Raw genomic sequence first — 24,800 nt, forward strand, 5'->3', positions numbered from 1 at the left:
CCCGCCTGCCCCGGCCTCCCAAAGTGCTGGGATTGCAGGCATGAGCCACCACACCTGGCCGAGAACTTAAAATCTTACCAACGCATAGAAATGATACTCTTGGGAGGCCAAGGCGGGCAGATCATTTGAGGTCAGGAGTTTGAGACCAGCCTGACCAACATGGTAAAACCCTGTCTCTACTAAAAATACAAAAAAAAATTAGTCGAGCGTGGTGGCGCATGCCTGTAGTCCCAGCTACTTGGGAGTCTGAGGCAGGAGAATCAGTTGAACATGGGAGGCGGAGGTTGCAGTGAGCTGAGAACGCACCATTGCACTCCAGCCTGGGCAACAGACTGAGATTCTGTCTCAAAAAAAAAAAAAAAAAAAAAAAGAGATAAATACTCAAAAGTGATGGCTATCCTAAATACCTTGACTTGATCATTACACATCCTATGCAAATACTCACATGTACCCTACAAATATGTAAAATATTTTGTATCAATGAATAATAATAGGCCAGACGTGGTGGCTCACACCAGTAATCCCAGCTCTTTGGGAGGCCAAAGCGGAAGGATCACTTGAGGTCAGGAGTTCAAGACCAGCCTAGGCAACATAGTGAGACCTGGTCTCTAAAAAAATTTAAAAATTAGCTGAAGGTGATGGCTGACACCTGTATTCTCAGCTACTCAGGAGGCTAAGGGAGGAGGTTCACTCAGGCCTAGGATTTCAAGGTTGCACTGAGCTATGATAGCCCCACTATACTCCAGCCTGGGTGACAAAGCAACATCCTGTCTCTAAATAAATACATAAATAAAAATTTAAAAATATATAATAATAGAATAGTTCTCATTTTAGTGCAGAGGTTTTTATGCAGGGGACGGCATACTCAGATCTGGGTTTTAGAAAAAGTCATTCTACAGGCAATGTTAAGGATGGACCTGAAAACAAGAGACTGTTGCCATGGCAATGAGATAGGAAGCTCTTGTTGGCCAATATTCCCTTCTGGACAGGCATAGGTATAGAGCCGGCCTTGGCCAGGATCTCTGTAAGCTGGGGCAGGTATGTGAATGAAGGGAAAGGAAACCAAAGTCTGAGTTCTGGGTAAGGTTGCTGGAGGAAGAAAAGAACAATCTAAAATGCCAAGTCCAGGCCAGGCATGGTGACTCACTCCTGTAATCTCAGCACTTTGGGAGGCCGAGGTGGGAGGATCACCTGAGGTGAGGAGTTTGAGACTAGCCTGGCCAACATGGTGAAACCTCGTCTCTACTAAAAATACAAAAAGATTAGCTGGGCCTGGTAGCGGGTGCCTGTAATCACAGCTACTCAGGAGGCTGAGGCAGGGGAATTGCTTGAACTCAGGAGATAGAGGCTTCAGTGAACCGAGATCACGCCATTGCACTCCAGCCAGGGCAACAAGAGCGAAACTCCGTCTCAAAAAATAAAATAAAATAAAATAAAATAAAATAAAATAAAATAAAATGCCAAGTCGACGGGGGTTGGTAGAGAAGCAAGATCCAGATCTAAAACAGCAGGCTTGGATTTGGAATTATAGCAGAAGATAGATCAGGTAACCCAAAGATGCTTCTGAAAAAATAGCATCAAATGCATAGCTGAGTTTACAAATAAAGTAAATCCCCAGGAACTTAAAATTAAGAGAGAAGAAAAACTAAAAAGTTAGATATAAACTATATATTTACAAACATGATGGGTTTCCTGGTCTTAATATGATGTATGAAAACTCACATGGATTAATTAAATTAGGCCTTGGGTTTTAGTGAAGCAGAGAATTGGAGCTGGGGCCCATGCGTAGCACCAGAATCATTAATGACTTCAACCTTCATAAAAGAAAAAAAATCAATTATAGGCACTAGGAGATAATAAGGTAACTTGCCTGTCTTGGCCTGGGGTTTGGATGGAGTGGAGGAAAGCCTCATGTAGTATATTAGGAGTCTCCAGAGGGACAGAAAATAGGACATATATATATATATATATCCTATGAGCTTATTAAGGAGAACTGGCTCCCACGATTACAAAGCAAAGTCCCATGATAGACAGTCTGCAAGCTGGGGAAAGAAAGACAAGCCAGGAGCATGGTTCAGTACAAGTTGGAAAGCCTTAAAATCAGCGAAGCCAACAGTGCAGCCCTCAGTCTGAGGCCAAACGCCCGCGAACCCCTGGGAGACCACTGAAGCAAGGCCCAGAGTCCAAAGGCCAAAGAGCCTGGAGTCTGATGCCCAAGGGCAGGAGGAGAGGAAGCAAGCATCTAGCATGGGAAAAAAGAGCAAGAAGACTCAGCAAGCTGCTTATCCCCCTTCCACCTGCTTTGTTCTAGCAGTGCTGGCAGCTGATTGCACGGTGCCCACCTACATCAAGGGTGGGTCTTCCTCTCCCAGTCAAATGTCAATGTCCGCTGGCAACACCCTCACAGACACACCCAGAAACAGTACTTCACTAGCCATCTAGGCATCCCTCAAATCCAGTCAAGTTGACACCATCACATGTAGGTTTGGACTTGAATTTATACCTCTGAATGGTCTAAGAATCACCCTAGAAATCAACATCAAAGGAAGTCAGTGACAACATAGGTTTGCCTGGTGGACGTGAATGAAAAACTGTTTTGGTGGGACATACCTTCATAATAATCCATATGAGATTTCTACAAATAAAGCCTGGCTGTGAATTAACTCAAACGGAAACTATAAAACACATGTGGGGAATGAGGAAATCTGCCATAAGCAAGAATCCACAAAGACAACAAAGAGCATAATTCATTCTCAATAACTTTAGATAATCTAACTACTAAGGTCTATAAAGCAAGCATTTAAAACTGATTAAAAACATAAAAAGAAGTAATCTAAATCATAAGAAAAGAATAGGATTCTTTGGGAAAATAGAAAAATTTGAAATAAGATATGAACAATATAGAACTTCTAGAGATACAAAATATAGTTGTTTAATTTGAAAACTCAGTTAAATAGAAAATTATTTATAGTTAAGGCCGGGCACAGTGGGTCATGCCTGTAATCTCAGCACTTTGGGAGGCTGAGGCGGGCAGATCACTTGAGGTCAGGAGTTTGAGACCACCCTGGCCAATATGGTGAAACCCCATCTTTACTAAAAATACAAAAATTAGTTGGGCTTGGTGTCCCCCGCCTGTCATCACAGCTACTCGGGAAAATGAAGTTGGAGAATCCCTTGAACATGATAGGTGCAGGTTTTGGCGAGCCAAGATCACACCACTGCACTCCAGCCTGGGCAACTGTGTGAGACCCTATCTCAAAAAAAAAAAAAAAAAAATTACAGTTAAAAAGAGAATTAGTAAGGGCCAGGCATGGTGGCTCACACCTGTAATCCCAGCACTTTGGGAGGCCAAGGCGGGCGGATCACCTGAGGTCGGAGTTCAAGACCAGGCTGGCCAACATGGTGAAACCCCATCTCTACTAAAAATACAAGAATTAGCCAGGTGTGGTGGTGGGCACCTGTAATCCCAGCTACTTGGGAGGCTGATGCAAGAGAATTGCTTGAACCCTGGAGGCAGAGGTTGCAATGAGCCGAGATTTCGCCATTGCACTCCAACTTGGGCAAAAAGAGCGAAACTCTGTCTCAAAAAAAAAAAAAATAATAATAATAATAATAATTAGTAATGTTCTCAATACAAAGAAATGATAAATATTTGAGATGATAGATATGCCAGTTACCCTGATTTGATCATTTACAATGAAAACATGTATCGAAATATCACATTGTGCACCATAAATATATACAATTATGATTTGTCAATTAAAAATAAAGCACTGGGCATTGTGGCTCACACCTATAATCCCAGCACTTTGGAAGAGCAAGGCAGGCAGATCACTTGAGCTCAGGAGTTTGAGACCAGCCTGGGTAACATGGTGAAAACTCGTCTCTACAAAAAATACAAAAATTATCCAGTCATGGTGGCATGTTCCTGTAATCCCAGCTACTCAGGAGGCTGAGACGTTAAAATCACTTGAGCCCAGGAGGCAGAGGTTGCAGTGAACCATCATTGCACCACTGCACTCCAGCCTGGGCGACAGTGTGAGACCCTGTCAAAAAAACAAAAATAAAAAATAAATAAAATAAAGCTTTTAAAAGAAGAGAATTAGTAAATTGGAAGATAGAGAAAAGATGCCTAAAAGGTTAAGAGATCTGAAAGAATAAAAAGATCTAATTGAAATTCTGGAAAAAGAGTAGAGATAATCGGGGAGACACAATACTCAAAGAAATAATGACTGAGAATTCTTTACAATAGACATAAATTCTCAGATTCTGAAACCACAAAGGGACCCAAATGAAAATAAATATACATTTAGACACATTGTGGAGGAATTTTAAGAAAAGAAAAAAAAATCAAAGGAAAGAAATGATATTAAAAGTAGAGAGAAAAGATATTATCTTTAAATGTTCATTACACTTATGACAATAGAAGCCAAAAGACAATTAAACAATATCTTTTAAATGCTAAGAGAAAATAACTATTAAGCTATAAATCCATATCCTGATAATCATTAAACAGCAAGAGGGAAAATAATTGCTAAATATCTGTGCTATGGTTTAAATGGTTTTGTCCTCTCCAAATTTCATGTTGAACTTAATCCCCAATGCAACAGTGTTGGAAGGTGTGGCCTTTTAGGAGGTGTTTAGAGCATAAGAGCTTTGTCCTCATTAATAAATTAATGCTGCTATAAAAAGGGCTGTGGCCAGGCACTGTGGCTCCCGCCTGTAATCCCAGCACTTTGGGAGGCCAAGGTTGGCAGATCACCTGAGGTCAGGAGTTTGAGATCAGCCTGGCCAGCATAGCGAAACCCCATCTCTACTAAAAATACAAAAAATTAGCCAGGTGTGGTGGCGCGTGCCTGTAATCTCAGCTACTCCGGAGGCTGAGGGAGGAGAATCGCTTGAACCGGGCGGCAGAGGTTGCAGTGAGCCAAGATCGCACCATTGCACTCCAGCCTGGGGGACGAGCGAGACTATGTCTCAAAAAAAAGAAACAAACAAACAAACAAACAAACAGAAAAAGGGCTTGTGGCACTGGGTTTGCTCTCTGCTGCTCCTCTGCCATGTGAGGACACAGTGTTCCTCCCAACTGGAGGATGCAGCATTCAAGGACCATCTTGGAAACAGAGAGATCAGACCCTAACCGTCTGGCATCTTAATCTTAAATGTCCCAGCCTCCAGAACTGTGAGAAATAAAATTTTGTTCTTTATGAATTATCCAGTCTCAGGTATTCTGTTATCACAACATAAATGAACAAATGAAAACAGTGTGACTGAGTAAATATATTACTGAAAAACTCATTAAATTACAATGTCTAATTTGGGATTAATAGAGAGAAAGAACTAAAATTACATGTTAAACTGAAAGAGATGATCAAAGTCAAAGAAACCTGAGGTTCTGAGGTTTATAAAGTAGGTAGAGAAATTGATTATCTTTCATTTAAGTATATATATTAAAAAATTTAAGGATAAACATTAAGAGAATAGTTATAGGGCATATACTATCCAAAAGATTAGGGTGGAGAGAATAGGAAAATAATGTGGTTGATCCAAAGGAAAGCTAGAAAAAAAATTTTTTTAAACATAGAGAAAATAAGCAAAGAAAGAACCCAAAACAAGACAAGAGAAATAACTCTATCAGAAATCATAATACATGTAAAAGGACTAAATTCCCCAGTTAAAAGAGAGAGATTCTCAATTGGATTAAGAAAAAAGGTATCAGCTTTACACTCTTTAAGAGGTATACCTGTCGCCGGGCACGGTGGCTCACGCCTGTAATCCCAGCACTTTGGGAGGCCGAGACGGTCGGATCACAAGGTCAGGAGATCAAGACCATCCTGGCTAACACGGTGAAACCCTGTCTGTACTAAAAATACAAAAAATTAGCCAGGCGTGGTGGCAGGTGCCTGTAATCTCAGCTACTCAGGAGACTGAGGCAGGAGAATGGCGTGTACCTGGGAGGCAGAGCTTGCAGTGAGCTGAGATCGTGCCACTGCACTCCTGCATTCCAGCCTGGGTGACAGAGCCAGACTCCACTCAAAATAAAAAAAAAAAAAAAGAGGTATATCTAAAATTTAAGAGCTTAGACAATTTGAAGTAAAAAAAAAAAAAAAGGAACATGAAAAAACAGGCAAATTCTAACCAGAAGAAAGCTGACTTCTCTAAATTAATATCAAACAAAATGTTATTTAAGGAAGGAAATACCATTAGGGATTAAATAATAAAAGGAGCAATTCCCAGGATGATATAACAAGTTCAAATTTAAATGGGGCTCATAACATAGCTTTAAATTATATAAAGCAAAAATGTACAGAGTTGTACTGTGGGCGAAAGTACAAAAACAAGTAATAAACAAGTTGAATTTGAGATGGGTACCTGTGAAACTTCCAGTTAGAGATGTTAAAGATGTTGGACATAATTGATCTGCATCTCCAGAGAGTGGTCAAAGTGAGAGTTAAAAATGTACAGGTAGTAGAATGTATTACTCCAAATTTAAAAGAGTCTGAGCTTCTCAAGGAGAATTATGTATTCAAGTTTCAAGTCCCTCATGACTATCACAGACCCTTATAAAAGTAGTGCTCAATAAAGGTTAAATTGAACATATCCTCATAGATACTGATTTTATTTAGGATGTACACACTTTCAGCACTTGAGATTAATATTTATTCAATGAATAAGAAACCATAAGAAAGGAAACTATAAGAAAGATTTGAGACATGATTTCTGCCTTTAGGAATATTTTAATTTGGTTGGGAGATTAAAACAAACAATGCTTTGAAAAATTAAGAAGCAATAATCAATTGTCCATCATCGAGTTTTAGCTGCTGTTGTATTTAGGTGAGAAGAAAGTTTAACAGAGACTTGAAATGCTAGAGAAAGCTCTAAATAGGTGGAATTTTAGTTGGTCCTTGAAAAATGCACATCTTTGGGAAAAAAGAGAAAGAGAACATTTTAGTTTGAGGAATTGGCATGGATAAAGGCTTAGAAGCTGGAGTTTAGGTACATGCTTGTGTGACTTCAATGACACTCGTTTCAATGCAGTTTAAGTGCTGAGGAGTGGTAAGAAAGCTGGAGAGATCAGTCACATGGAGTCATGGAGGGTCTTAAACTAGCCAGAGATATTGGAATTGCTTTAGTAGATAACACAGAATTAAATAAGAATGCTCTTAAGTGGGTGTGACAATTTTTATTATATTTTCATGAATAATCTAGAAGTGGTGTGTCAGAGGACTTGAATGAAGGAGGGGACAGGAAGCAGGGAAACCTGTCTGGACACCTTTCAAGTAATCTAAGTCTAAACTTATTAGGTCCAGGACTAAGGGAAAACCAAGGAAATGGATAAAATGGGGTAAATTTGAGAGACATTTCAATAAGAGAAATGACAAAATTTGGCATCAGATTAGGAATCAGCACACAAAAATAGAAATAAGTCAAAGATAAGCCTAGAATAATAGTGATATCCTGGACAAATAGCTAATGTCAAGAAGAGTCAATAATTCATGAATTCATAGAAATTTAGAAACAGGAGCTTAGAAATGATATCTATAGACACCGCTTTTCAGAGATGAGGAAATTAACAGAGAGCTTGAGTGACTAGTTCCTGGTCACCCTGCCTGGGCGACAGATCGAGACTCCGTCTCAAAAAAAAAAAAAAAAAAAAAAAGAAAAGAAAAAAGAAAATAGCTAGAATCCTAGAGGATTTACCCTGGAAGCAGTTGGTTTAATGCTACCCGTGGGAGATCAATGTTGGATGGATGGATTTGGGAGCATCTGAAAGGCAGTTGGAGCCATGGGAGTGGTTGTGCTCTTCCAGTGAGAGATTATATAGGGAAGAAAAAAGAGGAGCAAAGATAAAGTCACAGGAAATATCTACAATTAGGGATTCAAACTAGAAGGAAGATGGTTCCCAAAGAAGTCAGGTAAGGATCAAACAGACGTGAGGAGTCCTCGTGCAGTGGTTACAGGCACTTTGTGGGGTTGAGGTGGGTGGATCACTTGAGGCCAGGAGTTTGAAAACAGCTTGGCCAACATGGTGAAACCCTGTCTCTACTAAGAATACAATAACCAGGTGTGGTGGTGCACGTCTGTAATCCCAGCTACTTGGGAGGCTGAGGCAGGAAAATCACTTGAACCCAGGAGGCAGAGGTTGCAGTGAGCCAGGATCGTGCCACTGCACTCCAGCCTGGGCAACAGAGCAAGGCTCTGTCTCAAAACAAACAAACAAATGAAAAAGCAGACATGAGGAACGATTAGAGGTGGCCAGAGTCAGATTCTGTGGCATGTTCCCTTATGATGAGTTCTGAGTTTTGTTATTTATTTTGCACAAAACTGAGTATCCTATGGCATTTCACTGTGAACATCACTATATACTCATCATGGTTTTTCTCTGCCAATACTTTGATATTCCGTGTCAGTTTTTTCCTTATGCATGGTCCTTTGATTATTAATGTTCAATAATATAATGAGTTAACATGAACAAATGTTTGTTTGAAACACTGACAATAATCCACCTGTGTACTACTCTCCCTCTTCCTGTCCCTGCCTTCCCACCCCCAGTGTAAGTACTACTCTTAGGATTTTTATGTAGTTTTATCACTGTAGGTATACCTACTAAATAATTTTTTAAGTTACTTTTTTTTTTTTTTTTAGATGGAGTCTCACTCTGTTGCCAAGGCTGGAGTGCAGTGGCGTGATCCCGGCTCACTGCAACCTCTGCCTCCTGGGTTCAAGCAATTCTCCTGCCTCAGCCTCCTGAGTAGCTGAGATTACAGGCATGCAACACCATACCTGGCTAATTTTTGTGTTTTTAGTAGAGACGGGGTTGCACAATGTTGGCCAGGCTGGTCTTGAACTCCTGACCTCAGGTGATTCGCCCACCTCGGTCTCCCAAAGCACTGGGATTACAGGCATGAGCCACTGTGCCTGGCCTTAAGTTACTTTTTTATGTAGAGGGGGTTTTATGTTATTAGTAATCTTTGAAACTTATGTTTTCATGCATTATGTTTTTAAGATTCATCTGTATTGTATGTAGCTGTAGTCCGTTCATTTTTGCTGCCTTATAGAATTCCATGTTTGAATGCCACATTTTATTTTCCTGTCAATCGCCGTTTAATTTCAAGTAGTTTAGGTTGATTTGAATAGTGCAACTATAAGCATACTTGGACATGTCTGCTCGTGTATATTGCAATGACTTCTATTGGGTGTATATCTATTTACACTGATCTTAAACTCCTTCTGTGAAGCATAACACATTAGAAAGGCATTAGGTGAATTTTCTGATTGTGGAAATTTGAGTCTAAAAGAATCAACAACTTTCCCTAAGGTGAATAGATTCAAATATCACCCTAGGAGCTGTGCATAGTGTGTACTCTAGATAAGGGTTAGTTACCAAATGTTTTCTTGGGGGCAAAATTATAAGCAACAGTTGGTGACTGATTTTTTTCCACTGACCCAATTTAATGTCAATGTTATTTTCAGGATACAAAAGGAAAACTGAAGGCTAGGGGCAAGGAAAGAGGTAACAGATTAACTGAAGCATTAGAATTGCTCTGCAGCTATTCCAGAAAAATTTACCTTCATCTCCTTTGAGAGTCCCCTTACTCTACCTAGCAGCCTTCCTTGCTGTGAGAGGGTGAACAATATGAACAAAAAGAAGCAAGGAAAAGGGCTCTGTCGGATTTGTTCACTCAGAACCAGTTGATAGTCTGCCAAGAAAAGTTTCTCACCCTCAAGAGGTTCTGAGCTTAAAAGTCTCTTTGTGAACACGTGAGAAAGGATCCTTCCCTGCTCAGGAATCCTGCATGTATTTATGTGTGTGTGCGTGGGCACGAAGGTTTGGAGGAAAGTGGACACTGGACTGATACAGTACTATTTTTTTGGAAGTGTTACAAACATCTTCTCGCTTACATTAAAATTGTTGCTATACCCTGAATTACAATAACCCTCTTGTTGAAACATCACTCATTTTTACTTGCAATAATCACACTTAGAAATTACACGTATTTCTCAGCCAAACAACGTAATTTCCTGCTTTAACTGAGCATCTTAGCCTTGCACCCAGTGACAAACCTCTCTACCTATTTCACATCCACCTCACAGAGTGGAAGGAAGGGAATGAAAATCTTATTATTTATGGATATAGAAATTGAGAACAATACAAAGGGGCCAATGAATCAGAGGTGCCATTCTGCCTTACAGTGGGGTCTTCTTTGCCAGGACCTCAGGCACGATTCTTGTGATCTCTGTCTTCTACTCATTTGCTGTATTCCCATTCTTCTTTTTTTCTTAGAAAACTGGTTTTTAAGAAAACATTAAAAGGCCGGTGCAGTGGCTCACGCCTGTAATCCCAGCACTTTGGGAGGCCAAGGTGTGTGGATCACCTGAGTTCAGGAGTTCAAGACCAGTCTGGCCAACATGGAGAAACCCCATCTCTACTAAAAAAAAAAAAAAAAAAAAAAAAAAAAAAAAAAAAAAAAATTAGCCAGGCGTGGTGGCAGGCGCCTGTAATCCCAGTTACTCAGGAGGCTGAGGCAGGAGAATTGCTTGAACCCGGGAGGCAGAGGTTGCAGTGAGCCTAGATCACACCATTGCACTCCAGCCTGGGCAACAGACTGAGACTCCATCTCAAAAACAACAACAACAACAAAACATTAAATAGTATACAAATGCCATGCATTTAAGTGGAACACAGTGCCAACACATTACCAATTATTCCAAGCACATACATGAAACATACATATAGAAAGTATTGTTTCCAAATTGGAATGTGCATTCTACAAGGAAATATTTAAATCAAAATGAAATAGCGGGGCTTCATCCTTCTTTGGACAGTACTTTAAAGCAGAGCAAGGAACCATAGCTCTTTTTCCTCACTGTATCAAATGAGGATGCATTTCCCAATTTGTTTATTCTCCCCCTCAAAGAGTGCTGGATCTAAGTTGTGCCCAATTAAGGTCTGTGCTTACAAGTACATGCCTGTAGCGTCAATGTTATTTGAAAATTCTTTATGTAAACTTATTCAGCATTTATCCAAACATAATATTAATCTTTAAGGCTTTTAGATTTAGCCCTATAAAGTACTATTATCATTGTATGTTTACCCATCTTCAGTTTCCCATAACAAAATATTCAAATTTGTCTGTAAATATGTAGAGGGTAGAAAAGGTGAATTCTTCTTGTAGAAAGAGCATTAACCGGAGCATTGCACTTCTTGTTGGGAATTAGTGCAGCAATTTTTCTGTAGATAAAAGAACCTCTTATCTTATGAAGAGCTGCATTAATTACAGCCTGAAATTCTGTTTCACGCATCCTCTTTCAGAGCCAAGGAGAGAGCAGAGAAAATGTGTGCTGTTGGAAATTTGTACTTCCATTTTCTTTTTCTTCTTGGAAAATAGCTTTTCTGAAAGGTAAATAGTACACAAATGCCATGAGTTTAGGTGGAACACAGTGCCAAAGCAATACTAATTGTTCCAACAACAGCAGCAGCTATAACTTTAAAACCAAAAAACAAATTCCAGTGTTATGAGTAACTTTGCTGATCATAATAAAAGAAGATGAAATTTAATGTCAATAGCAGTGTGAGTGTAGGAGGTAATTCTATTTCATTTTCTTTTCAAACAAAACAGAAATAGAACATGGTTATACAAGCGAATAAAAAAACCCAGGTAGTAAATGGTAGAGAGATATCTTCAATCTATATTGAAGCCAAAAGCTTTGGTTTTAGAGCTATAAAAAGCAGTTTTCACTTTCTAGAATCTATATTAAGAGCTATAGTTCTTATTTGTTCCCATTATCTTTATTGGGTGTTGGTGTCCAACAAAATAAATGGATATATAGGAGGAAAGTGAGAATAATCTATTGAGAAGACATTCACTATGACAGAAATACTATTGTACATGCAAAATTTACCAACACTTACTTCCTGTTTTCTTCGCACCTCTTCATGAACTTTGTTCTCTTTCTTATTCACCATAACCTTGCCCAAGCTTTGTTCAATGATTGCTTTCAAAGTTTGCATGCATGCAAGCCTGCTATATAGTGGTACTGCCTATCTCCTCAGGGTTGGGGAAAAGATTCTTTCCTTATTTATTTATGTGCCTATAAAGAAAGTCAGGATATTTTTTTTTTTTTTGAGACAGAGTCTTGCCCTGTCCCCCAGGCTGGTGCGATCTCGGCTCACTGCAACCTCTGCCTCCTGGGTTCAAGCGATTCTCCTGCCTCAGCCTCCCGAGAAGCTGGGACTACAGGCATGCGCCACCATGGCCAGCTAATTTTTGTATTTTTGATAGAGACAGGGTTTCACAATGTTGGCCAGGATGGTCTCGATATCTTGACCTCGTGATCTACCCGCCTCGGCCTCCCAAAGTTCTGGGATTACAGGTGTGAGCCACCGGCCAGGATATTCTTATACATTGTTTCTATAGATCACATTCTCCAGACCACATCAAGGAAAAGCATCGGGTCAAGTGGAATACCTAGAAGATGTTAAGGAATTAAAAATAGTTGCAGGCAAGCCTAATTCTACCAGGGAATTAACAATTACTATTCTGTAAAAATTCTGAGATAATTAAGCATGTTGAATTTGTTAAAATAACTGAAACCAATATGGAATTGAGTTTCTTCAAAGTAAAGCCAATTGTCCTTTGATGCTCAGAATGAGTTCACATTTACAAATGGTGTTGCCTGGTATAGTAGAAAGAACCCAACAAACCTAGGTTTGAATTTCCTATCTGTCACTGATTGGCTGGTGACCTTGGCCCAGTACCCTCCCGAGATTCAGTACTTCTCCACAATGGGAAAAATGATACTTACCTTGCAGGGCTATCAATAAGGATACAGCTGTTGTATAAAGTGTCTAGAAGAGGGCCTTTCACAGGCTCAAAAATAAGTTGCTTTTGTTGTTGTTGTCACTAATCACCTTGGCACACTACTTTTCCATCAAATGCCTCTAATACTATGATGAATAGGAAGACCCTTTTGAACTACAAATAACACATAAAATAATAAAAATGCCTTAAATTCAGAGACCACTTTTGATTCAAAGTACTCAAAACACTTTTCTGTTTCTTGTCTGGTGAGCTCTGTTAAGGGAAAGGAATAATATTTCAGAGAACATGAGAACGTACCCATGCAGGTACAGGAATTTGACAGGACATCACTGTCTGGCAACAGTTGGCTGTGCCACTTTCACCAGCCAGTTCAGGCTGAGTGAAGGCACAAAACAAAATGGCACTATGAGGAAAGTGGACAAAAGGAAACAGGGGGCAAACCCTTCACGATTTAGGCCACCAGAGATGTCTCAAATAATCTTGTCCAGGCTGGGCACGGTGGCTAACACCTGTAATCCCAGCACTTTGGGAGGCTGAGGCAGATGGATCACCTGAGGTCAGGAGTTTGAGACCAGCCTGGCCAACGTGGTGAAACCCCATCTCTACTAAAAATACAAAAATTAGCTCGGTGTGGTGGCGGGCACCTGTAATCCCGGCTACTCAGGAGGCTGAGGCAGGAGAATCGCTTGAACCCGGGAGGCAGAGGTTGTAGTGAGTTGAGATCACACCACTGCACTCCAGTCTGGGCAACAAGAGCGAAACTCCGTCTCAAAAATAAAATAATAAAATAAAATAAAATCTTGTCCGGTATACCAAAGGCAAATCAATTCACATCACCTAAAAAATTACTTACAGAAATTTGGAAAAATGAGCAATTTAGACAAAAGCAAAGAATTGAGGCAAAGATCTGGGCTCCTCTGACAAAAATCATTTTAAAAAATTTTGTCCAGAATTAGCCCAGTCATTGCTTCCATTCTCAGCTTTTCACAAGCTGTAGAAATAGAGCCAAACTTAGTTCCTTCAGGTTTCTTGTTGGCTGCAAAATGATATGAGGCCTTTCATCTCCTCCCTGATGTTGCAATCCTTTCTCTTTGCGACTGCCTCATCCACCACCTGCCTCACGCCAACACTTTGCCTACTATTTTCTCCTCTGTCCCTCCTTCCCGTGTGGCCATTTGGCCCGCTGGCCGGGCAGCAGGCGGGCTGTCACGTGACCGAATCCCAGCGGCTTTGCAGCACCCACGTCCGAGTTTTCCATGACGCACCTGCTGCCGTCACGTTGGCTCCCATGTAAATAAATGGTCAAATCTTTTCCAAAAGTGGTTTTGACAAAGAACGGCTTAAACCGCCAAAGATGTTGACAAATGGGCTGTTATCTAGGAGAGTGAGTAAAGCAACCCATTTGAACGACAAGAACAGATAAGGCCCAACTCTTTGTCTCCTTTCCTCTTTTACATTGATATTCCCGGGGAGACAAAGGGGAAGAAGAAAAGGAAAGAAAGGCAGATCTTTAGCACTGGCTGTCCCAGAGTTGATTAGGATGCTGATCTGTGTGGCAGGCTTCTAGGTTCTCACCCAACTTCTTGGCTGCTATTCAAAGGATTTAACAGTGCTCTTTGTAAATAGTGGTGTACAAAGCCCAACTAAAAATAGTACATTTCCAGGGTCTGAATCGGGTGAGTGGAATGAGTGGCAATGGCTGTATTGTACAAGACAGATTACAAGCAAGTTACTTGATGGTACTTTATATGCAGGGTTATTCACATGCTTCATCTGGTTTGGTTAAATAATGCAAACACATTTACCAACGTACATGATCGTTTTGTTTATTTATGCTCTGGAGAGCTTGTGTGTGTTTATGACAGACAAATGTACATGTTCTATTTTCTGACAATCAAACAAAGCTCTCCCTGATGAGGTAAATAGCTGAGTTAAATAGTGGAGTGAGGGCTCCTGAGAATCGCTGATGTGACACCATGGTGGTTGTTAATGACAGGTTTCCTGCTGCGCTTGCTGCCCTGAAGGATTTTTGCTGAAGGTGGGAATCAACAAGAGGCTCTGACAACTAGTGAGACTGCTAGTTCTGGCTGAAATCTCTCTGTGAACCATGAGTGTGAAAGCTTCTTCCTCACTAGGAGTTTTTCAGGATGAGAGCAACTGCATGTGTGCTTCCTTCCCCTCACCCCTGAGGCTGAGCTGTGTTGGGTGGGGAGGTGAGGTTCTCATCCTTAGGCCAGAACAGATGTTGCCTGTGCAGGCTGTGGAAACAAGGAGTCACCAGGACCTCTCAAATAAGATTCAGACTCAGGGAGAAGCCTAAAGAAATGAAGTAAGACCATTATTTTCCCAGACGAAGATACTAGGAAAGTGTTTTGCAGTCTTTTGAAAGCCAAAGCTACCCCCTCCTAATGTTTTCAACCGTAAGCAGTGGTTATTCCTGTATATTTTGAGGTGAGAGATTGTCTCATACCAAAATATAATATATTTTCTATGTAAGTAATTGTCTCTCAGGCAGTTTGGAGACTCTCTTATTTAATACAGTGTGGAAACCCTTGGGTGAAGCCCTTGGTCATTCTGGCAGGTCGATTTCCTCTTCGAAGATGGGGACTGAGAACAGGGACCGCTCTGGAAGGAGCTGGGCCAGGAAAAACATTATAGAGGATTCAAGAAACCCAGCCTGTGAATTTGGCAAACATTTATCCTACCCAAATTTCATGGGTTTAAATGGATGCATCTTGGGTGAATTGGGTCTGACAGCCTAGACTCTGTACACGTTGGCACTTGTCACTCTTCTGCATATGCTGCATGACTTTGGGAAAGTCACAGAAACTCTTTGACCCCCCAGTTTCCTCATCTGTAAAACAGGGAGAATAATGCCTACCTCATTAAGCAGATTGTTGTGAGGACTCAATTAGGCAATGTAAGTAAGGCGCTTGTCACATGGTCAAATAGATCCATTATAATGACAATGAGAGGCTATTAGACAGCATTCCTGGGCATAGCCTCTCACCTGCTTAATGACATCCTAGTGTCTCTCAAAATTGGTATCATCTCACATGTTGAACACTATGCAAATGTCTGATTCCTTTTGAGTATTGCCACCATCATCATTCTTATTATCTCTGAATGTTGAAGAATGAACACTCCAAAAAGCATTTAATGACAATTCCCATGACCTGTCATTCCCTTCTTTATCAACAAGGATGTCATAATTAGGGTTAATTTCTCTTTGAAGCTGTCTCAGAAGATAACATAAGCCATTATTTTGACCATTCTGGAATTTCCTGGCTTTTATTTCTTATGCTAAGGAATTAGAATTTTTCTTCACTAAGGTAGATTTTTGCTTACATCCCTAAAGAGCCAGGAGAGGAACAAATTTCACCTCTTGTTTGAAACTGAATTTTCGAGCCAATGAAAGACTATAACTGAATAGGCTTCTCTTTGGACACATCCTCAGGCATGAGTAAAATGAGTTCTGAAAGACCTGATGTAGTTTGGATATGTGAAGAGCCAAATGGCTTTTTCAAAGCCATGGTCATGGCACAAAACCCCACCATGTTTGTAAAGACAGCAAGGGCATGTGAGAGACGAGGTAGCCCTATGAATGGAAAAATCAAACCACGCAACACAAATGTAGATGGTAACCCTGCTTGAATCATTTGCAAGATTTGCTTTCAGTACCTGTGCTACAGCATTCTAATCTTATTCTACAAAGAAGGATCACTGTGACTACTACTGCTACTACTTTTAGTGGTTATCATCCAAAGTTAACTAAGTTCCTATAAAGAAAATCTTCTTGGCCAAATATATGAAAATATTGGAATTGACACGTTTACAAAATTTTCTCATCACTATACTTAAAAATCATATTGGAAAGGCAAAGGATTTTGAAAATTGTCCAGGTTTCACTTTCACTGGCCAAATTAAATGAATTCCTTTACTTTTCCTTCAGAAGGGCACAATCTTGCCTCTACAGAGCTTCCATTCCCAGAGGGAGAAAATGTACACACACAACAACTAAAAGAATGACACTTTCTCTTCCAGTTCATTAGAGACTTGCTTGTTTTGCTTTTTTGTTTCACTGTAAGCCTATCTGCTAATGTTTCAATCGTGTTCTAGACGTCAAGAAGGATTAAAAACTAGCCCTGTGCTCGTGGATCTTGTTGGGGAGAGGAATAACTTTCATCTAAAAACTACTCAAGACAGTACGCATAAGTGCCAATTAAATTTAATCAGCCACTAAAATAATGGCAGAGATCACCAAGGCTAGGGAAAATCAACATCAGGGTAGGATGGATGGCAAAGAAATGCTATTTGGTAAAGGTATGTGAAAGCGGCTGTTATGGGCTGAATTGTGTCTCCCCAAAATTCACATGTTAAAGTCCCAACTCACCCCCAGTACTTCAGAAAGTGACTATATTTGTAAACAGGATGTTTAAGGAGATAATTAAGTTACAATGGGCTTATTAGAATAGGTTCTAACCCATTGTGACCGATGTGCTCATGAGAACAGGAGATTTGGACGGATGCAGCTACAGAGAGAAGAGCAGGTGAAGACTCAGGGAGAAAGCAGCCATCTCCAAGCAAAGCAGAGAAGCTTCAGAAGAAACCAACCCTGCTGACACCTTGGTCTCTAACTTCTAGCCTCCAGAATGTGGAGAAAATATTTCTCTGTTGATGAAGCCACCCAGTCTACGGTACTTTGTTATGGCAGTCCTAGCAAACGGCAGTCTTGAGATTTGTTTAGGTAGAAAAAAGGGGTGAAGTGTGTACTATGCTTCTTCCTCTTCTGTTATTAAATATCTAACTCTTATTTGCATTTTCTTTTCCTTGTTTATGTCCTTGGCCCTACTGTTAGGTATAGAGGCTTGGGAGGTGATGAGGAGAAGGGAGTTGAGAAGGGAATTCAGGAAGGTAGAAGTGGGAGCAGAGAAAAGAAAGAGATGCCATCCTAGTGTTTTACTGGAGATCAGATTTGGAAGAAGCAACAAAAAGCAGCAATTATGAAAGCAGTGAGCAGTTTTGAAACTCAGGCATGGTATTAAGAATAAGGAACTACAGAGAATTTAACAAGATTATCGAAAATCTCAAATTTATCTGTACTCTATAAGGAAGACTTTATTGTTCACTTGTGGCCTTTTGATAAGTTCAACCTTTATCTTCTGAAGATAAATTCCAATATTATCATTATAGTTATGACTTATTTGATATTTATAACCCTCCAGGGTTGCCTTCCTGCCACATTATTTTTGCACTGTTGAAATACTATTTTGTCCATAGTGGATATAAGAGATGTAAATGTAATATGAAAGCATTTATATCAATTGTAAAGACATGGCAGGGCTATTTAGTCAAATAGGACTTGTCACTCAAGTGATTCTCATTACCCATTAAATATTTCTCAGTGATTCAGTGGTTTTCAATTGGTTGAGAAACATAGTGGGGACAAATGCCAATATATGAAGACAAATGCTGCCTCAAACCTAAGCTGCCAATCTAGGAAAACCCTGAAACTAGTCCAACATATTTTACCACCCAGACATAATTTGTTTTTAATGGTGATGTAAAGAAATCTGTGGTTAAGTGACCACATTTAAATTGTTGTTTCTTAAAGAAAGGGCTTATGTTTGGTCTAAGTCCCTGGGAGTACTTTAGTCTTAGTAGTGAATTTAGAAAAATGTAAGTTTCTTCTGCCTGCTATTTTGCAAGTTGTGCTGGGAGTGAGCAGGAAATAGAATTCCCAAGGATGACTTTTATGGCCTGATCTTTGCAACTAGAAAAGTATTTGGTGTGGGGCACATTGATTGTTTCAGAATCTGCTTTTTGTCCTCCCTGGCTCTGAAAGGTCTATTGCCTTCAGGGATCCCTCCTGGGCCAAGGCTTATGGGCTTTCCCTAAGGGCTTCCTGCCCTGGCTGGCTGGTGGCTTCTGGGGAGCCGGCCAGGCCCTGCCTCAGCCTGCTGCTGTGGCCTTGTTTGTTCACTGCTCTTCATCCTTTGGTTCAGATTCATGCTCTTTACTCCTCCCTCAGACTGGATGCTTTCACCTTGTTCAAATTCTCGGCTGCCCTCACCTAGTGTCACTTTGATCACCTTCCTAAAATCAAGGGACAGTCATCTCTGCTGTCATGCTGAGCCCGAGTTCCTGACATGCCAGCCTGGGTCTTCTGCTTTTCCAGGAGAAAAAGTTTAACACGTAAAACATCTTAAGCACTTCTCCGTAGCTCTGTCAATAGTATAATGTTTGGCTCAATAAACACTTATTGCATGAGAGAAAATAAAGGAAGAAAAAAGAGAGAGAGAAAGAAAAAGGGACAGAAGGAAAGAAAAGAGAAAGAGAGAGAGAGAAGGGGAGAAAGAAAGAAGGATGGGCCAGGTGCAGTGGCTCACGCCTATAATCCCAGCACTTTGGGAGGCTGAGGCGGGTGGATCATGAGGTCAGGAGATTGAGACTATCCTGGCGAACACGGTGAAACTCCGCCTCTACTAAAAATACAAAAAATTAGCTGGGCGTGGTGGTTGGCGCCTGTAGTCCCAGCTACTCGGGAGGCTGAGGCAGGAGAATGGCATGAACCCTGGAGGCAGAGCTTGCAGTGAGCTGAGATCATGCCACTGCACCCCAGCCTGGGCGACAGAGCAAGACTCCATCTCAAAAAAAAAAGAGAGAAGGATGGAAAGAGAGAAGGAAAGAAGGGCAAGAAAGAAGGAAGGAAAGAAAGAAAGTTGGCTTTACGCATAATTTCTATTTCACTTGCGTCCGTGTGAAGAGACCACCAAACAGGCTTTGTGTGAGCAATAAAGCTTTTAATCACCTGGGCGCAGGTGGGCTGAGTCCAAAGAGAGAGTCAGCAAAGGGAGATAGGGGTGAGGCCGTTTTATAAGATTTGGGTAGGTAAAGGAAAATTATAGTCAAAGGGGGGTTGTTCTCTGGCGGGCAGGAGTGGGGGTCACAAGGTGCTCAGTAGGGGAGCTTTTGAGCCAGGAGGAGCCAGGAGAAGGAATTTCACAAGACAATGTCATCAGTTAAGGCAGGAACAGGCCATTTTCATTTCTTTTGTGGTGGAATGTCATCAGTTAAGGTAGGAACCAGCCATCTGGATGTGTACGTGCAGGTCACAGGGGATATGATGGCTTAGCTTGGGCTCAGAGGCCTGACATTCCTGTCTTCTTATATTAAGAAAAATAAAATGAAATAGTGGTAAAGTGTTGGGACCGTGACAATTTTGGGGGGTGGTATGGAGAGATAATGGGCGATGTTTCTCAGGGCTGCTTCGAGCGGGATTAGGGGCGGCGTGGGAACCTAGAGTGGGAGAGATTAAGCTGAAGGAAGGTTTTGTGGTAAGGGGTGATATTGTGGGGTTGTTAGAAGAAACAGTTGTCATTTAGAATTATTGGTGATGGCCTGGATATGGTTTTGTATGAATTGAAAAACTAAACGGAATAAGAGAAAGAGAAAAACAGGTATTAAAGGTCTAAGAATTGGGAGGACCCAGGACATCTAATTAGAGAGTGCCTAAGGAGGTTCAGCATAGCCCTGGAGCAAAGATTATTTATTTACTTTAAGAGTTAAGAGTGGCAGTTTGGGGATAGCACCAGGAGATATCATCTGTGATGACTTGGAGAAACAGAGTAAACCGGCAGTGTAAACAAGAGCAGAGCATGTATGAGTAGTTGAGAATGGTGAATAGGAGTATGACTAGACAGAAGATAGTAGGGATGACAAGTTTTGGGGGGCACAGTCCAAGTTGGTCTGGTGTCTGGAATGAGACCAGGGCCTAATAAAAAGGAGCATCTATACAGGAGCTCAAATGGGCTGTACCCTGTAGCATTCTGAGGACAGGTCTGACTTCTGAGAAGGGAAAATGGTAAAAGTATTGTCCAGTCCTTTTTAAGTTGGTGGCTGAGCTTGGTGAGGTGTGTTTTTAAAAGACCTTTAGTCCGTTCTACTTTTCCTGAAGACTGAGGACTGTAAGGGATATAAAGGTTTCACTGAATACCAAGAGCCTGAAAAACTGCTTGGCTGATTTGACTAATAAAGGCTGGTCTGTTATCAGACTGTATAGAGGTGGGAAGGCTAAACCGAGGAATTATGTCTGACAGAAGGGAAGAAATGACTGCAGTGGCCTTCTCAGACCCTGTAGGAAAGGCCTCTACCTATCCAGTAAGAGTGTCTTCCTAGACTAAGAGGTATTTTAGTTATCTGACTTGGGGCATATTGAGTAAAGCTAATTTGCCAGTCCTGGGTGGGGGCAAATCCTTGAGCTTGATGTGTAGGGAAGGGAGGGGGCCTGAATAATCCTTGAGAAGTAGTAGAATAGCAGATGGAACACTGAGAAGTTATTTCCTTGAGGATAGATTTCCACGATGGAAAGGAAATGAGAGGTTTTAAGAGGCGGGCTAGTGGCTTGTACTATAGCGTAGCCTGCCTTTGCTGGTGTGTGGCGATTAGGCCTGGTGGAACTGCCATCAATAAACTAAGTGTGATCAGGGTGAGGAACAGGAAAGAAGGAAATATAGGGAAATGGGTTGAATGTCAGGTGGATCAGAGAGATGCAGTCATGAGGGTCAGGTGTGGTATCCAGAATAATGTGGGAGGCCGGTTTGAAGTCTGGGCCAGGAACAACGGTAATTGTGGGAGACTCAACAAAGAGTGAGTACAGCTGAAGGAGCCGGGGAGCAGAAAATATGTGCGTCAGGTGGGAGGAAGAAAATAGATTTTGGAAGTTATGAGAACTGTAGAGTGAGTTGAGCATAGTTTGTCATTTTTAGGGCCTCTAAAAGTATTAAAGCAGTGGCAGCCGCTGCACGCAGACATGAGGGCTAGGCTAAAACAGTAAGGTCAAGTTGTTTGGACAGAAAGGCTACAGGGTGTGGTCCCGGCTCTTGTGTAAGAATTCTGACTGCACTAACCATGCCTAGGAAGGAAAGGAGTTGTTGTTTTGTAGAAGGGATTGGGGTTTGGGAGATAAGCCGGACACGATCAGCAGGGAGAGCACATGTGTTTTTATGAGAATTATGCCGAGATAGGTAACAGATGAGGAAGAAATTTGGGCTTGATTGAAGTAATGGGGGCTGTCTGTGAAGACTTGCGGCAGTACAGCCCAGGTAATTTGCTGAGCTTGATGGGTGTCAGGGTCAGTCCAAGTGAAAGCGAAGAGAGGCTGGGATGAAGGGTGCAAAGGAATAGTAAAGAAAGCATGTTTGAGATCCAGAACAGAATAATGGGTTGTGGAGGGAGGTATTGAGGATAGGAGAGTATATGGGTTTGGCACCTTGGGGTGGATAGGCAAAGCAATTTGGTTGATAAGGCGCAGATCTTGAATTAACCTGTAAGCCTTGTCTGGTTTTGGGACAGGTGAAATGGGGGAATTTTAAGGGGAGTTTATAGGTTTTAGAAGCCCATGCTGTAGCAGGTGAGTGATAACAGGCTTTAATCCTTTTAAAGCATGCTGTGGGATGGGATATTGGCGTTGAGTGGGGTAAGGGTGATTAGGTTTTAATGGGATGGTAATGGGCATGTGATCAGTTGCCAGGGAAGGAGTAGAGATGTCCTATACTTGTGGGTTAAGGTGGGGGGATAGGAGAGGAAGATGCAAAGGAGGCTTTGGGTTGGGGAGAAGGGCAGTAATGAGATGCAGCTGTAGTCCAGGAATAGTCAGGGAAGCAGATAATTTAGTTAAAATGTCTTGGCCTAATAAGGGAACTGGGCAGGTGGGGATAACTAAAAAAGAGTGCATAAAAGAATGTTTTCCAAGTTGGCACCAGAGTTGGGGAGTTTTAAGAGGTTTAGAAGCCTGGTCGTCAATACCCACAACAGTTATGGCCCTTGAAAATAAGGTAATGTGGAGTGGGTAGCTTCCGTAGTATTTAAGAAGGGGACGGACTTACCCTCCACTGTGAGAGTTACCTGAAGCTTGGCATCCGTGAAGGTCTAGGGGGCTTCCGAGGCTATCAGGCAGCATCAGTCTTCAGCCGCTAAGCCAAGAAGATCTGGGAGGGAGTCAGAGAGCCTTGGGCCAGAGTTCCAGGGGCTCTAGGGGGTGAGTTGGACAGTCTGATTTCCAGTGGGGTCGCATACAGATGGGACACGGCTTAGGAGGAATCCTGGGCTGCAGGCATTCCTGGGCTGCAGGCATTCCTTGGCCTGGTGGCCAGATTTCTGGCACTTGTAGCAAGCTCCTGGGGGAGGTGGGCCTGGAGGAATGCCTGGCCACTGTGGTTTAGGCATTTGGAAGTTCTTGTGTGCTGGAGATGTGGCTGGGGTTTGTCTCACAGTGGAGGCAAGGAATTGTACATCTTGAAGGCCAGGTTAATTAAGTCCTGTTGTGGGGTTTGAGGGCTGGAATTTAATTTTTGGAGTTTTATTTAATGTTGGGAGCAGATTGGGTAATAAAATGTATATTGAGAATAAGACGGCCTTTTGATCTTTTAGGGTCTAGGGCTGTAAAGCGTCTCAGGGTTGCTGCCGAACGAGCCATGAACTGGGCTGGGTTTTTTATATTTGATGAAAAACAGTGTAAACACTAACTGATTTGGGAGAAGTTGGATAAAGAAAAAGGAGCATTAACCTTGACTATGCCTTTAGCTCCAGACACCTTTTTAAGAGGAGATTGCTGGGCAGGTGGGAGAGGGCTAGAAGCGGAATGAAACTGTAAGCCAGACCGGGTGTGAGGAGGGGAGGTGATAAAAGGATTATAGGGTGGAGGAGCCGAGGCTGAGGAAGAATTGGGACCTAGCTCCACCTGGCGAGGAGGGGAGAGGTCAGATGGGTCTGTAGAAAAGGAAGATTAGAAAGACTCAGCAACACTTGGGGCTGGGACTGAGGGGACAGGCAGGAGGGAAAGAAGGAAGATTTGGGATGAGTTGCATTGGAAACAGAGACTAGGGAGGGACTGATATGTAAAAGAATGCCTGGACGTCAGGCACCTCAGACCGTTTGCCCATTTTACAAGAATTATCTAGATCTTGTAGGATGGAAAAATCGAAAGTGCCGTTTTCTGACTATTTAGAGCCATTGTCAAGTTTGCACTGGGGCCAAGCGGTGTTGCAGAAGAAGATAAGGCGTTTAGGTTTTAGGTCAGATGTGAGTTGAAGAGGTTTTAAGTTCTTGAGAACACAGGCTAAGGGAGAAGAAGGAGGAATGGAGGGTGGAAGGTTGCCCATAGTGAAGGAGGCAAACCCAGAGAAAAGAGAGAGTAGAGACATGGAGGGAAGGGGTTCGGGGGTTCTTACCCTCCAGAAAAGCGGGAAAGGGGTCGGGGCATGGAAATAAGGGGTTGGGGCACAGAGATAAGAGGTTGAGGCGTGGAAATAAGGGGCTGGGACACAGAGATAAGAGGTCGGGGCATGGAAATAAGGGATCGGAGCACAGAGATAAGAGGTTGGAGCATGGAAATAAGGGATCAGGGCACAGAGATAAGAGGTTGGGGCATGGCAATAAGGGATCGGGGGTTCTTGCCCCCTAGAAAAGCAGTACTTGCCGCTAAGGGTGAAGGAGAAGGGGTTGGGGGGTTCTTGGCCCCAGAAAAGTGGAGAAAGGGTAGAGACATGGAGAGAAGGAGTTGGGGGGTTCTTGCCTCCCAGAAAAGTGGTACTTGCCGCTAAGGGTGAAGGACCAAGGCAGATGCCCCGTGTGGTCAGACACCTCTGAAACGTCGGTGAATAATCAGAGAGGTGTCCCTGCAATGATTAAACACCAAGGGAAGGCTGCCTTCCTGAGTCCATGAACCGGCACTGGAGTTTTGGGTCCATGGATAAAACGTGTCTCCTTTGTCTCTACCAGAAAATGAAAGGAATTGAAATTAAGAGAAGGGAGAGATTGAAGGGTGGCACCAAGATTGAAAGGAGAAAGTGGTTGAGGGATAGTGAGAGAGGTTGGAGAAGAGAGTAAGAAAAGGCCGCTTACCCAATTTAAAATTGGTGAGACGTTCCTTGGGCTGGTGGGTCTGAGGACCCGAGGTTGTAGGTGGATCTTTTT

General features: G+C 42.0%; 2 annotated features.

The window, feature by feature from the left end:
- Positions 18,286-18,786: an enhancer, noted in NCBI's record as "H3K4me1 hESC enhancer chr4:129560764-129561264 (GRCh37/hg19 assembly coordinates)". NCBI's record gives its function as "activates a minimal SCP1, AML or CMV promoter by ChIP-STARR-seq in primed H9 embryonic stem cells {active_cell/tissue: H9 hESC(primed)}" and the evidence as "EXISTENCE:reporter gene assay evidence [ECO:0000049][PMID:30033119]".
- Positions 22,871-23,370: an enhancer, noted in NCBI's record as "H3K27ac hESC enhancer chr4:129565349-129565848 (GRCh37/hg19 assembly coordinates)". NCBI's record gives its function as "activates a minimal SCP1, AML or CMV promoter by ChIP-STARR-seq in naive H9 embryonic stem cells {active_cell/tissue: H9 hESC(naive)}" and the evidence as "EXISTENCE:reporter gene assay evidence [ECO:0000049][PMID:30033119]".

The sequence above is a fragment of the Homo sapiens genome, chromosome 4, assembly GCF_000001405.40.
Source record: "Homo sapiens chromosome 4, GRCh38.p14 Primary Assembly".
NCBI classification, from domain to species: domain Eukaryota; kingdom Metazoa; phylum Chordata; class Mammalia; order Primates; family Hominidae; genus Homo; species Homo sapiens.